The sequence below is a fragment of the Homo sapiens genome, chromosome 2 (assembly GCF_000001405.40).
Source record: "Homo sapiens chromosome 2, GRCh38.p14 Primary Assembly".
Classification (NCBI taxonomy): domain Eukaryota; kingdom Metazoa; phylum Chordata; class Mammalia; order Primates; family Hominidae; genus Homo; species Homo sapiens.
The window spans coordinates 112479850-112494824 of record NC_000002.12 but is presented as its reverse complement, the minus strand read 5'-3'; the positions used below and the strand labels follow the sequence as shown (position 1 = coordinate 112494824).

The window sequence follows — 14975 nt, the reverse complement described above, 5'->3', positions numbered from 1 at the left end:
CAGAATATATTTTGAAGGTAGAGCTAGCAAGAATTGCTAATGCATTAGGAGTAGATTGTAAAGAATACAGTAGTCAAGGATGAATCCTAGGTTTTAAGCTTCAGAGACTGAGTGAATAGTGGGATCATATACTAAGTGGAAAGCGTGAAGGAGGAGCAGGCTGGCGTGGGCAAAGTTGGGAAGGAAATGAAAAGTTCTGTATCAGATGTGTTCAGTTTGAAATGCCTTTTAGAGATGGTGAGGGTGTCAATGGATCTAGAGCTTAAAGGAAAAGACCATACTGGAGATAGACATTTAGAAGGCATCAGTACATAGATGGGTATTTATAACTATGTAACTAGACACGGTCTCAACCTTCGATGATTCAGATTAAAATAGGGTCATTCATCTAAATACATCACAATAGCAACTTACCAGGAATAGAGAAGGGGACAGCAGTGCCAACTCACCTTTGGCACCGGCTGATGACTTTGCAATCCAAACGTTGCCCTCTCCATCCTCTTTCTTTCTGTTATAAGAGGCGAGAAAGAATTCTCTTTCATCTGTCCTTGAGTTACTGATTGGTGGCTGAATTCCATTCTGTGCTGGAGCAACTGGAGTCTTGAGATTGGTTGGATAAATCACATAAGATTCAGGGAACCATGTGCAGGACTCAGCCAGTTCAGGGCTTGTCTTGATTAGCCTGGCAGATGACAGAAGAGGATCAGCCTCCCTTCTTAGTGCACTTTGTCACTCCCTTCAGAAAGGCCACTCCTTTCCCCCAGAGACTTTCCGGGAGGCAAAGCATGACTCAGTCTTCTAACATCTCTATTTGCTCTTAGTCTCCCTGGACAAAGCTCAAATGCGTTATTGGGGAGCGCACAGCTGTTAGATGCAACCTGAAAGGCATACCCCAATTAATTCAAAAGGCTTAATGTCCAACACTTATGCTCCTTTTAAAATGCATCTCTAATGAAACTTAACCGGACACAATCCTGAGCCGATATCTTTTCAACAAATATGTTGTTGAACCATACCCATACTAAAAAAATGAAATGGGGAAGAGAGGAAAATTTAAGTAGCAAAAAGACTATCCTGGCCCAACTCTCTATGGGAGAAAAGGCTACGTAGGAATCTGAATTATCTAAAGACTTTTTAAAGCTCTTGCTTTTAGCTCAGGCTGGCTTTGGTGACAGAATAAAAAAGGTATTTTTCTAACGGAACATAGGACACCAGTGGTCATAGTGAAATATACCTCCTGCTCCCCAAATACCATAACACCACAGAAGATAAAGTCAGGCAAGGCACTTAGCACACAGGGGCTTCCCTCTGCATCTACTCTGCAATCAGACCCCTGGAGCTAGAGGCACTGGCATCACATTTCACAAATTAGGAACTGGGTCATGGAGAAGTAAACTTCCTGAGATCATAAAGGTAGTGAGGACCAGCCAACATGCAGGCCCGAACTCCCAAGTCTTTTTTTTTTTTTTAACAGCTCAAGCTACTACAAAACCCCCAAGTCTTAACTGGAAACCTGCTCTTACTCCCCAGGAATCAGAGACAGGGAGGAACCTGCCCACAGACATGCACTGGCCTTCCCTGAGCTGTGCTCCCTCTTCTGTTTAGAACAGAACTGTTCATGCCAAGTCCATGTTAAGATTCACCTACAAAACCCAGTCTGTGAACAAATGGTGGAAATAACGACATTGTAGATAGATATTAAAAACAAATTTATTTTAAAGCGTAAGGGAAAGAACTGAAAAGCTACTTGAACTTGAAGGAACAAAATAAATAAATTTTTAACTCACTGAAAGTTCAACTCCGTATCTGCATTGTCCCATCCAGTGGTCACTAGCCAACCACAAGTGGCTACTGAGCATTTGAAATGTAGTCAGTGTGACTCAGGAACTGAATTTAAAGTTTAATTTTTTATTTTATTTTTATTTTTTTTATTTGAGACGGGGTCTCAGTCTGTCTCCCAGGCTGGAGTGCAGTGGTGCGATCCTGGCTCACTGCAACCTCTACCTCCCGGGTTGAAAACGTTCTCCCACCTCAGACTCCCGAGTAGCTGGGATTACAGACGCCCGTGACCACACCCAGCAAATTTTTTTTTTTGGAGATGGAGTCTCGCTCTGTCGCCCAGGCTGAAGTGCAGTAGCGCGACCTCGGCTCACTGCAAGCTCTGCCTCCTGGGTTCACGCCATTCTCCTGCCTCAGCCTCCCAGTAGCTGGGACTACAGGTGCCCACCACCACGCCCAGCTAATTTTTTTGTACTTTTAGTAGAGACGGGGTTTCACCGTGTTAGCCAGGATAGTCTCGATCTCCTGACCTCGTGATCCACCCGCCTCGGCCTCCCAAAGTGCTGGGATTACAGGCGTGAGCCACCGCGCCCGGCCCACACCCAGCTAATTTTTGTATTGTTAATAGAGACAGGGTTTCACCATGTTGGCCAAGCTGGTCTCAAACTCCTGACCTCAGGTAAACCACCCACCTCAGCCTCCCAAAGTGCTGGATTACAGGCATGAGCCACTGGGTCAGGCCTAAAATTTAATTTGCCTTTAATTTAAAAACGGATGCATTATAAAATATTTTTCCATTAAGCACAACTTTATTGATATGGTGAGATAATACTTCACTTTCTTGTTGTATCGCAGCATGCACGTCAGGGCCATGTGTCATTTCTAGTATCACACACAAACACATCGCTATTCTATTCAGGGACAATAGATTGATTCAGATCAAGTGATTTCTGTGCAGTGATGAAACATTATGATATGTTTACTATGCAGAGAGCATGAATTACAGTGCTAGCTACAAATACCACAATTGGGACTAAGGTGAAATAGAATTTCTTCCTAGTTAAAAAAATATTTGGACAAAAATTTAAATTTAAAACGAAGGCATACTACTGACGTGGAATTGAGTAGGGACACAGAAGCTAGAACTATGACAAGGACAGTAAGAGATTTAAAAAAAAAGAACTGAAAGGAGGTATGCCACAGATTCACAAGAAATGGTGACTGCAATAGGCTATGGTAAAAGTAAAATGAAAAAACGGTTGTGTAAAGGAGACATTTTTAGCAAATACATAATAAACTTGATAAGTATTTTCCTCTCAATGCTCAAAAAAATTAATGAAACTAGTGGCTAAAATCACAATATCCAACACATTTTTTAAGCAAATGTTTTACAGAGTCTGGGTTTATAATTTTGGGCAACTATAAAATGGCTTGGATTCTTACACAAAAAGAAAACCATTTTAGATGCAAATGTAGTTTTAAAAAACTATTTTAAGGAAAAGACTTAAAAATATAATTTACAAAAAATGAACAATCTTCAGCTGAGTCACAATTGCCCACAGACTACAAAACCTTTCTAACAATATCAAAGATTGACTCAAAATTTGAAAAATATTAAGTATTTTTCTTTAGCTTTAGGTGAACTGTGTGACATAAAAGATGCTGTCCAATTAATACTTTGGGTGTTTTGCCTCAAAGGATTTCCAAATGTATGATAAAATGCTGTCAAATTGCAGCTTAAAAAATATCAAACTCAGCCGGGAGTGGTGGCTCACGCCTATAATCTCAGCACTTTGGGAGGCTGAGGCAGGCGGATCACAAGGTCAGTAGATCAAGACCATCCTGGCTAACGCGGTGAAACCCTATCTCTACTAAAAATACAAAAAATTAGCCGGGTGTGGTGGCAGTTGCCTGTAGTCCCAGCTACTCGGGATGCTGAGGCAGGAGAATTGCTTGAACCCGGGAGGCGGAGGTTGCAGTGAGCTGAGATCGTGCCACTGTACTCCAACCTGGGTGACAGAGTGAGACTCCAACACACACACACACGCAAACTCATAGTATAGATATTTTAAAATCTCTTACATCTGTCACAGAATTTTACCTACATGCAAAAAATTTCTTTCTATCATGACAGATAGGACTTCAGTTAGGTTGTATTAAAATATGGATTTATGGCTGGGCACAGTGGCTCACTCCTGTAATGCCAGCAGTTTGGGAGGCCGAGGCAGGTGGATCACCTGAGGTCAGGAGTTCAAGACCAGCCTGGTCAACATGGTGAAATCCCGTCTCTACTAAAAATACAAAAAACTAGCCAGACATGGTGGTGGGTGCCTGTAATCCCAGCTACTTGGGAGGCTGAGGCAGGAGAATCGCTTGAACTGGGAGGCAGAGGTTGTAGTGAGCTGAGATGGTGCCACTGCACTCCAGCCTGGGTGACAGAGTAAAACTCCATCTCAAAAAAAAAAAAAAAAAAAAAAGATTTACTAAGATTTTAGTAGACTAATGTTTCCTTTACTACTTCATTTTATTGTATGATACATATTGGAAACATTTGCTTCATTGCATTATGTGTTACATGTTGAAAACATTTGTGTTAGGTCTGCTTTTTGTTTGTTTGTTTGTTTATCCGAGACAGGGTTTGGTTCTGTTGCCCAGGCTGGAGTGCAGCGGCACAATCTCGGCTCACTGCAAACTCTGCCTCCCCGGCTCAAGCGATTCTTGTGCCTCAGCCTCCCAAGTAGCTGGGATTACAGGCGCACACCACCATGCCCAGCTAATTTTTTTTTGTATTTGGAAGAGGCAGGGTTTCACCATGTTGGCCAGGCTGGTCTCGAACTCCTGACCTCAAATGATGCACCTGCCTTGGCCTCTGAAAGTGTTGGGATTACAGGTGTGAGTCACCACATCCGGCCTTGTGCTAGGTTTTCTGAAGCAGACTCTAAGTGTCACGGATACAGTTGTTAAAATGGTTCTGTATATACTCAATGATTCTCCAGTTCATGGAAACAGAAGACAATGAATTTAATGATACTGTGTTCTCTGCCAGTATTCACTGATGGAGAAGGGGAAGGGTCTTTTTAAATAAAGATTTACTTTTCAACTCCAATTCAGATTTTCTTGAAAATAAAAGGAATGTTTGTCAAATCATCATTTTCACTCAGTAATTCATTATTTCAATAATCAAAATAAAAAATGACTGCCATTTGCATTTTCTCATCTATCTTCATACTGCATATAAACAAGATAAATTTAAAGCTCCAAGGAAGGGAAGAGAAGATCTTATTTATGATCCACCCAGACAGGTGTGAGAATTTATGTTCCAACTTCATAAGTTGATAATAATGATTTCACATATTTTTACAACATGATTCAGTATGCAAAAAATGTTAATTGTAATAGCATTATGAAAATTGGCTGCAAAAACTAAAAGAAATCTGAGGAACACTTTGTTGACATTGGTAAATTTAGAGTTACTTTTCAATATATTCAATACATCTTTGAATTTGATATTTACAGTATCAAACTAACACAAGAGTTGGTGAATTTACTTAACTTGGACATTATTTTGAAAATAAGCTTTTGCTTCATAGTCAAATCAATTCTTCTAGAAAAGATGAACTAGTTTTGAAAATGTGTGTGCAATATTAAAGGAAATAGATCTTCTGGCTTTCAAAGTTGTTGAAAAACTTTTATGTACAACTTGAGTACATAAATCTACTTCTTCAACCATACATTTTTTATGTAATCTAAATTCAGATCAAAGCTTTCCAATGAAAATTTACTGTTTGAATTAAGATGTGCTACATATGTAAAATTCACATTAGATTTTGAAGAGTGAATAAAAGAACGTAAAATATAATAGCTTTTTATATTAATTACATGTCAAAATAACATTTTGGATTTATTTAGTTAAATATAATAAATTATTTGGGTTTTTTAAATTAATTTATTTCTTTTTTGAGACGGCGTCTCACTCTGTCACCCAGGCTGGAGTGCAATGGCATGATCTCAGCTCACTGCAATCTCCACCTCCTGGGCCCAAGCAATTCTCCTGCCTCAGCCTCCCAAGTAGCTGGGACTACAGGCGCCTGCCACCATGCCCAGCTAATTTTTATATTTTTAATAGAGACGGGGTTTCACCATGTTGGCCAGGATGGTCTCAATCTCTTGACATCGTGATCCGCCCGCCTCGGCCTCCCAAAATGCTGGGATTACAGGCGTGAGCCACCACGCCCGGCAATAAATTATTAATTTAATTGCAGCTGTTACTTTTCTTTTCTTTTTTTTTAAGAAGGAGTCTCACTCTGTCTCCCAAGCTGGAGTGCAGTGGCATGATCTCGGCTCACTGCAACCTCCACCTCTCAGGTTCAAGCGATTCTCCTGCCTCAGCCTCCCGAGCAGCTGGGATTACAGGTACCCACCACCATACCCAGCTAATTTTTGTATTTTTAGTAGACATGGGGTTTTACCATGCTGGCCAGATTGGTCTCGAACTCCTGACCCTAAGTGATCTGTCCGCCTCAGACTCCCAAAGTGCTGAGATTACAGGCGTGAGCCACCACGCCCGGCTTGCAGCTGTTTCTCTGCACTTATTTTAATGTGGCTACTAGGCGGTTTATAATTACATGTGTGGGTAGCATCCTATTTCTGTTGGACAGTGCTGGTCTGTAAGATGACCTTGGTTTGGAAGCCCTCATTTCCTGCACAGAACCAAGACCAGGCTCTGCAGGAAGTCCTTTGCTTTTGTCCCATTTCCTCATGGGCCCATTTGGGAAGTAATCAGAAATGGAGATTTATTTACATCTATAAAACAGCAATGCTCAGGAGAGGAAAAGATAGCCTCTGATCTGTACCAGGAGAAGAAAAGCCCCTCAGGGTTCTAAGACTATGGCCTTGAGGCCTCAGTGAAATTTCCGAAACTCCCTGAAGTGACAGGGGGAAGGACTGGGCTGCACAGGGTCTTGCACTGAACCCCACCAAGGCTCTGGGAAGCCTCCCAAGGGTGCACAGTCACAATGGCCAGGGGTCCCATTTGTGCAGATTAAAACTGTCCTGGTTTAACAGGAGCTACTATGGCCATGGGCAACCTGGCTGTCCTCTCTGAACTGCCACTTTGTCCTATAAAATCAAGGAGACTTTATTTCTAACTCTCTGGAGCCCTTTCAAGCCATACAAAATCATGGGAGAGAGACAAATGGATAAAGGGAAGCATCATATCCTGGAATTACTGCAAGCCCCTCACAGGACAACTGAGACAAAGATGGAAGCTGATGAGGATGATGCAACCTCCAGCCTGCATAGGTCATGTCACCATTACAAGGTGCTATCACAGATCACACTGCATGCCTCCGAGGGGCAAGGGGCAGGTACTGTCACCACCATCCATCCCCATTTTACAGATGAGACACGGGGATTCTGAGTGGTGCTCTCCAAGGTCACAGATATTTATCACAGTTGGTCACGACTCCAGCCCTGTACTCACTCTGCTTCACTATAACTGCAAAATATACAAACATGGAAACCATTATTTTTTTACTGAGTCCTCTGCTTCCTACTTTATCTTTAGGGGAAAAATCGTAGCAGAAGAGGTTTAATAAATATTTAATAAGAATTTCTAAGTGAATAATTTGAATAAACAAGCATGTCCCACTTCTATTCCTGATTCCATGTAACAGTCATTTGCATTCTAAATATACAAACATGTCACAAAATGACTTCAGGAAGCCTCACTCTCCTTCAGGAGTGGGATGAATCATGATAAACCCATCACAGAGAGGAGTGGGTACATAAGTTACCAGGGCCAATGAGTGAACAAAAAGCAGAAATGTTCCTGTGAGCACCCAACCTAGTAAATATCTAGAGCCCAGAAAGAAACGTTAGTGGGAAAAGAGCATTTTGCATTGAGTCATATCTTCCAGTACCTGGCTACACACACATGTTCACCAGTCATCATGGAAAGAATACTGGAGGCCCACGACAGCCCTGATTTTAGTGGCCCGACCCAGTGTTTCCTACTGAAACAACAGTAATAGCAATGACAACTATACTAATAGCAATAATAAGGAATGCTTTCACTTATACAGTAGGAACAACAAGACGGGCACAATTCAAAGCCCGTAGCTAAATTAGCTCAATTAATCCTCATAACAACCTTAGGTAGTTATTATTATTTCCCCATTTTACAGCCAAGAAAATTAAGATAGTGTCAAATTCTCATTATGTACCAGGCCACTGTGCTATATAAACTTTACATGCATCACCTTATTTAATTCTCATAATAGCCTTACGAGGGAGGCACTGAGGCTTAGAGGGATGAGGAGATCTGCCCAAGCTAGTGAGAGAAGGAGCTGGGGTGAACACTTACACTTTTCACCCTAGATCTTAATCGTTGTCTAACACCGTCTCCTTCCACTTTGTGATACCTAGCCATAATCCAACTGCTCAGAGATGGGCAGTGCAGTGAATGCTCTTATACCCTGCCCAGATATCCTTTCTGAGGGACCCCTTACAGCCATGAGAGAAGGATGCTACGGGCTATATATGCCCTTCTCTGGGGACCAGCCCCTGCCCAGAAATGCCTGCGAAGCTAAGCCCTCCATCTCTTCCCACAGCCAATGGCTGACTGATACTGGAGCATAGAGGCCTGGTCCTTGCTCAAAATGTGACAACTCTGAGGTGCCATTCACTCTGGTGCTCCTTGGAGTCAGGAGAGGCAAGACTTCAGCTGAAACCACCTCTTTACTTGGTTCTCCCCCTGCCCTGCCCTGTCCTTGCTTCCCGATGGCTGTCTCTTAAGAATCCTACCCCAGGAAATCACTTACACAGGAGACCCTGAGTCAGGCTCTGCTTCTAGGAGCCTCACCTCAGAGGCAGACAGGCTTTATCAAGCACCATGTTTTGGACCGCAACCAAAGCGGCTTAGAGGAAGCTTCTGAACTGATATTTGTTGGCTTTTAAAATAAAAGTATGTTTGTCCTTTAAACAACCCCACATTTTTGCCTAAGTGCTTCATTTAGGTAAAAAATGGAAAACAGCGGTCTTAACACTTACTTCACTAAAGAAGCTTTGCGACACAGTTTGTCAGCACCCCTGTAGTAATTCACCAACTGTACCAGCCCGGGCTCGTGACCTAGGAAGGAAAGAGGAGGCTCAGAAGGGACACAGGACACAGCAAGCAGGAGAGAGGACAGCTGTGTCATGCCCAGCTTTTCTCTCTCTCATCTCAGGATTGGCTGTTAGAAAATGGAAAATGGAACAATTTTGTTTCTCTGTCCCCAGGGACCCTCTTTCTCTCAGTATTCCGCTGGCAACCTTCATTCTCCCCACAGTGGATATTATATCAACATCGTAGGTTTGCCAAAACTGCTGCTACCTTTGTCTGTTTTTTCTTGTTAGGGTAGAGGGTATTGAGGGTATTTTTTCATTTCACCTCTCCCTGACTGCACACTGCATTCCGCTCCTGGCTTAACACATATAGACTTGTCACTCTGTACAATAAGGCTACTTTAACAGTCACGCTTTCCACATCCGTAACCTGGCTTTCCATACCAAGGAAGGAAGGAGAACTAGAATGATGCTGGTCTCAAGCAAGTCTATCTCTGCAAGCTTCTAGGTGAAGGAAGGTAGTGGAGAGGCCATGTCTACAAAATCAGAAGCCCTGAGAGCTTTCTTCTGTGCCGCATTCCATGGGGAAACTCATTTTCAACAGCTCTTATTACATGTGGCTTTTTTTTATAGAATTAGAGCAGAAAGGACACAAAGAAAAACAATTTTTATTAAAAATAAAAAGTGTTTTCAGCCAGACACAGTGGCTCATGCCTGTTATCCCAGCACTCTGGGAGGCTGAGGTGGGTAAGTCACCTGAGATCAGGAGTTCAAGACCAGCTTGGCCAACATGGCAAAACCCCATCTCTACTAAAAACACAAAAACTAGCTGGGCGTGGTGGCGCACACCGGTAATTCTAGCTACTTGGGAGGCTGAGGCATGAGAATCACTTGAACCTGGGAGGCAGAGGTTGCAGTGAGCCAAGATCCCACCACTGCACTCCAGCCTGGGCGACAGAGCAAGACTTCATCTCAAAAATAAAATAAAATAAAAAATGTTTTGTTTCAAATCTTAATAAAACACACTGTATTTCCAGTAACAAAATCAAAGTAAGACCAAAGGAATTTTCAGTTGAAAATGCCAGAAGAAAGAATAATTTCTCTGAGAATGGCATACAGTCAAATCAAAAGTTTCAGGCAGGCATTAGCTGGCTCTCACTGGTCTCCCTGAGCAGACAGACCTGATTCCCACCTGAACTGCCTACATTCTTATCCACAGGGCACCTGCCTTCCTGAGCCTTTACCTAGCTCTATAAATCTTCTCCTTGGCTTTCATGTAGTACACTTTAAGCAAAAGGTAAATATCCCTTAACAGTGATGGCATATAACCAATTTTGTTGTAGGATGCTGTTTTCTTTCCCATAAAAACCAAATGTTGGCCGGGCACGGTGGTTCATGCCTGTAATCCCAGCACTTTGGGAGGACGAAGTGGGCGGATCACCTGAGGTCAGGAGTTCGAGACCAGCCTGACCAACACGGCAAAACCTTGTCTCTACCAAAAATACAAAAAATTAGCTGGGCATGGTGATGCGCGCCTGTAATCCCAGCTACTTGGGAGGCTGAGGCAGGAGAATTGCTTGAACCCAGGAGGGAGAGGTTGCAGTGAGCCAAAATTGCACCACTGCACTCCAGCCTGGGCGACAGAGTGAGACTCTGTCGCAAAACAAACAGACAAACAAAAAACAAAACTACAAAAAAAAAAAAAAACACATACAAACAAAAAGCTCAAACGTTTACTGATCATCTCCTGAATTTGTGGTATCTGTTCAGGATTCAAATTCTGGAGGCTTCTGCTTCTCACTCCTAGGCTTAAGCACCAGGGTAATGCCAGTCACTCCTACCTCTGCCTGGGCGGAGCCATGTTTGTTGTTTTTAATGTTATGATTCCACCTAAGCTTTCACAGCTAGGCACTGCCAAGAATATAGAGGGAAGTCAGGAAGTCTGGAAGGGGAAGTGGACAATGCAAGGAACAAATAATTGTTCTCAACTATAAGCAATTCTTCCTCTCCTTTCAGATCATGAATTCTCTTTGCTAGGGTCTTCCTGACACCGGTTAACCAAAGGGAGCCTCCAGGCACAGTCTCCATATTCTAAGATTTCTGGGTGTTCAAATGGGTCCTTCCATGGAGTCACCATTCTACATCATAAACTTGTATACCAATGAAAAGTTGTCCCAGGTACTATTCAAAAGAAGAAAATCCAGCAACTTTACACTGCAGCTCTTCATTCCTCCAACGATTTGAGTTTTACACAGCCCCCTCCCAAAGGCTCTGTCTATGGAAGCTCATAAATGACCAGTCAATTCCAAATGGCCCGTATTCAGTTTTTACCCATTTGAATTCTGACCACACCTATTTCTAAAAACTGTTTTCTCTCCTGGACATAGAACATTGCTCTCTCTGGGTTGCCCTCCAAGGTAGAGGTGACTCTTCCTCCGTATCGATTCTCCCCTTGTCTTTGGAATACAATTGGCCCCCACCTCTGGTGAATTCTGGCAAGGAACATGGCTCCCCGGAGAGAAGATGCAATTCCCAGATGACTGTGCAGAGAGGGAGGCCATGAGACTATGCTCAGGTCAATAGGATGTGAGTTGAACCGATCTGGGCAACTTCTGGATGACATCACTTACAAAGGAGCCGCTAGTCCCCTCCTATCTCCTGCGCTTTCCTACCCGTGGACATGTGGGTATGGTGGTGCCCAGCCAGCTTCAACCATGTGGATGAAGGTAATTCCCTCGGGGAGAGCAGGGAAGACAGGGAGGGCGAACGCAGCCTCGTGTAAGATCTTAATCCAATGCAGAACTGCGAAAACACATTATTTGGTGAAACTAAGGAAAGGTTTATAATCAGACATCCCTCCACACTTCCCTGGGCTAGGGTCTCTTCTGCAGCTCCTGCTTTTGGAATCCGGGGGTCTTTTCCAAATCCTCTGATCGCTCCTCCGCGCCTTCGGGGGGCAGAAGCCTCAGGGGTTTCAACACCTACGGCTCCCCCGCCCGCGCCCACGCCAAGCAGGGAGAAATCCTCAGTGCAGACGAGCTGCAAAAGATGACTCCAGCCGCCCGCTCTGCGGAGCCGCGCCCAGCGCGGCGGACCCGCCAAATCTGGGGGCTTCGGCCCGGGGGAGCCGCTAGACTCGCGCCTCAGGTCCCAGCCCCGGCGGCCAGCGTCTCCCGGGCTGCAGGGACCGGTCACCGTCGGGAGGTAGCTGCGGCCCCGAGTGGCCGCACCGCGACTCCGACTCTAAATCCAAGTTAGGAGACAAGAAAGCATTAAAAACGACAGGTTTCGATCTTTCCGAATCCGTTTCTGATGTGCCCGACAAGCGACAGAGGAGAAAATGTATGACCTTTAAAAACAAAAGCGCCGGTTCTAACGGGCCGCGGGAGGCGCGCAGGGCCGCTCCGAGGAGGGCAGACGGGAATCGGGGAGGGGCTCACCCAGTCTCCCGAAGGGCAGCCGATTCCTCTCTCCCAGCATCAGGTTGAATCTGGGGTTGTCTCGCCGCAGCCTCTTCCAGTGGCCGGTGGCGAGGAGCAGCCGGGAGACCTCGGCGTAGACGCTGCTGTTCTCATCGCGTACCACGAAGGTGTACATGGCGAAGCGCCGCGCGCCCGGGCCGCCGGGCAGCCGCCGCAGGGACCAGGCGGCCGAGAAGGCGGCTCAGCGCGGACCCCGCCCGGGCGCCCGCCGCGGCCCGGCCCCCGCCGCCCGCGCCGGCTACCGCGCCTCTCGGGTGCCGGCGGCGCCGCGCCCGGGCGCCCGCCGGGTGCCGGAGAGGAAAGCGCCGCTCGCACGCCCGCCCCCGCCGGCGCGGCCCCGCCTCTGTCCCGTGATTCCGCGCGGCCCGGCCCCGCCGCGCTCTGGAGGAGCCCGTGGGCGGCGGCGCCGCGCCCTTTCCGTACCCTCCCCCGGGGGCGGCGGCGGCGCAGGGTTGGAGACCCGCGGCGGTGGGCGCGGCTTTACCGCAGCGGGCGGACTGTGCGGTGGAACCGGAGCCCGGGCCTGGGGTGGTTCTTTCCGAGCCCCGGGTCGCAGCCGGGGGGCGGTGCCGGCGGAAGATCCCAGTTTGCAGGGCTCGATCTGGGTTTTTCTTCTATTGCCAAAGGACCTTTAATGGATAAAACCCAAAAGTTCTAAGGCCCGGTCCTGTGGCCTAATGAAGAAGCGCTTCCTCTTCCTCTTTGCTTAACGACTACGGAGACCCGGAGCGTCGGTTTTGTTTGTGTCGAGTGCTCCTTCCTTCGGCTGAGCCCAGGGTGGCGCACGGCCAAGGGGATGACCTTAGACTCTGCTGGTGGAAGCAGGTCCCAAACCGACCCCCTGGAGCCCTGGGCTCCGCTCTTTTCCTGCCTTTTACCGGCATTCAGCCACTTGCTTTCCCTTCTCCGGACCTCGATTTCCCCTTATGAGCGGCGGAGAGTGGCTCTTAAAAGTCCCTTCGGTTCTGATAGCCCACTCTGAAGACTGTGCTGCTGCATTTGAGATACAAAGAGAAGGCAATGATCATCAGAGCTCCCCCAAACTTCCTACAGTCCCTCATAAATTACCCACATCAGCCCTGCGCCTTGCATCTTTTACTCTCCTGTAGATAAAGAACACCCTGGGGCCTCTCCCCTTCCTGTCCCCCGATGCTCACGGTATCTACCCGAGCACATTGTAAAAGCGCCCTTCTCCTTCCCATCGTTGCCCAGATTCCACGGGGCCGCCAGGCGCTCACTCGCCTGTCTTGCGCACCGGCTCCACCTGCAGGCAACCGCTGGCTGTGGAGAGCCCGCTCAGAGCAGAAATGGGGCAGACTTAGAGGTGCTGGGTGCTTGCACTCCTTCCCAGCTGCTCTCCCTCCACGAGGGATAGAGTTGGTCGAGAATGCCCTGGCCCTCTCGCCCTCCGCACGTGCCCTGCGGGGAGGCGTGTGTCCTAGGCGTATTGCGGTGGTCCTCTGTAGGCCACGGCTGCGGTTGTCCACAGCTGCAACTTGCTCATCAGGGCATCTTCTGTTGGCTTCCTTCCTTTCCCTGACTACCGATGTTTCCTGGGATCACCTCCCAAAAAAACTACTGTACTCGTGCTCAAATTCTTGTTCCAGGGGGCACCGTTTGGGGGAACTCGAGCCAAGACGCTGTGTTTGCCGCTCTTCACGGCTGATCACCTTGAAAGTGACGTCCACTCCCACCATGCTGCATCAATTCCTCCTGCGACTCCTACTGACGACTCCTGTGCCACAGGTGGCTTCTCTCTGCCACTCCACAACCGTGGATCTCATTAGGAACACCAGTGACCTTTGAATTTCCAAATCCAGAAGCTACCTTTTTCCTTTTTCTCACTTTTTGTAGCGAGCACCATTTTTGTTTCTTTTAGCTGTAGGTTCTGTACGGTACTACTTATTCCCCACCCCACTTTTTTTTGAGACAGGGTCTCACCATATTGCCCAGGCTGGTCTCGAACTCCTCAACTCAAGCCATCCTCCCACCTCAGCCTCCCAAACTGTTGGGATTACAGGCGTGAGCCACCACACCCAGCTTATTCCCTTTTCTTTGTAAGGTAACTCATCTTTCCTCCTTGGAACGTGTGTGTGTGTGTGTGTGTGTGTGTGTGTGTGTGTCTGTTAGGGAGTCTTGCACTGTCGCCCAGGCTGGAGTGCAATGGCGTGATCTCAGCTCACGGCAACTTCCACCTCCGGGTTTCAAGAGATTCTCCTGCCTCACCCTCCTGAGTAGCTGGGACTACAGGCACAGGCCACTATGCCTGGCTACTTTTTATATTTTTGGTAGAGACAGGGTTTCACCATATTGGCCAGACTGATCTCCCAACTCCTGACCTCAAGTGATCTGCCCGCCTTGGTCTCCCAAAGTGCTGGGATTACAGGCATGAGCCGCAGCGCCTGACCCCCTTGGAACCCATTTTTTGTGGCTCTTGTGGGATTAACAGTGTCTGTTATTGATAAAGGAAATGAATATCCAGGCTTGGTCCAACAGGATTACTCTCTATCCCTTTTGCCACAGCGACTGGTAAAACGTAGGAAACTGGTCCAAATCAGACCAATCTGATGGAACACTATCTGTGTGGGACAGCTTGCCACTGTCTTGCTG

General features: G+C 46.6%; 1 protein-coding gene across 4 annotated transcripts in view, besides 3 other annotated features; it reads right to left on the bottom strand.

Annotated features, from left to right (window-relative positions):
• Positions 1 to 12669, bottom strand: part of TTL (tubulin tyrosine ligase) — a 59584-nt gene extending 46915 nt beyond the window's left edge. For all 4 annotated transcript variants that reach the window (NM_153712.5, NM_001371712.1, XM_011510665.3 and 1 more), the window contains exons 1-3: positions 12324 to 12669; positions 8830 to 8908; positions 450 to 682 (exon numbers count right to left, since the gene is read on the bottom strand). In NM_153712.5, coding sequence (NP_714923.1) covers positions 450 to 682; positions 8830 to 8908; positions 12324 to 12480 — 469 coding nt within the window. In that variant the 5' untranslated portion in view covers positions 12481 to 12669. The remainder of the gene's footprint in view (positions 1 to 449; positions 683 to 8829; positions 8909 to 12323) is intronic.
• Positions 11899 to 11998: a silencer, noted in NCBI's record as "silent region_11873". NCBI's record gives its function as "represses an Ori minimal core promoter by ATAC-STARR-seq in GM12878 lymphoblastoid cells {active_cell/tissue: GM12878}" and the evidence as "EXISTENCE:reporter gene assay evidence [ECO:0000049][PMID:35858748]".
• Positions 12559 to 12948: a silencer, noted in NCBI's record as "silent region_11872". NCBI's record gives its function as "represses an Ori minimal core promoter by ATAC-STARR-seq in GM12878 lymphoblastoid cells {active_cell/tissue: GM12878}" and the evidence as "EXISTENCE:reporter gene assay evidence [ECO:0000049][PMID:35858748]".
• Positions 13269 to 13338: an enhancer, noted in NCBI's record as "active region_16392". NCBI's record gives its function as "activates an Ori minimal core promoter by ATAC-STARR-seq in GM12878 lymphoblastoid cells {active_cell/tissue: GM12878}" and the evidence as "EXISTENCE:reporter gene assay evidence [ECO:0000049][PMID:35858748]".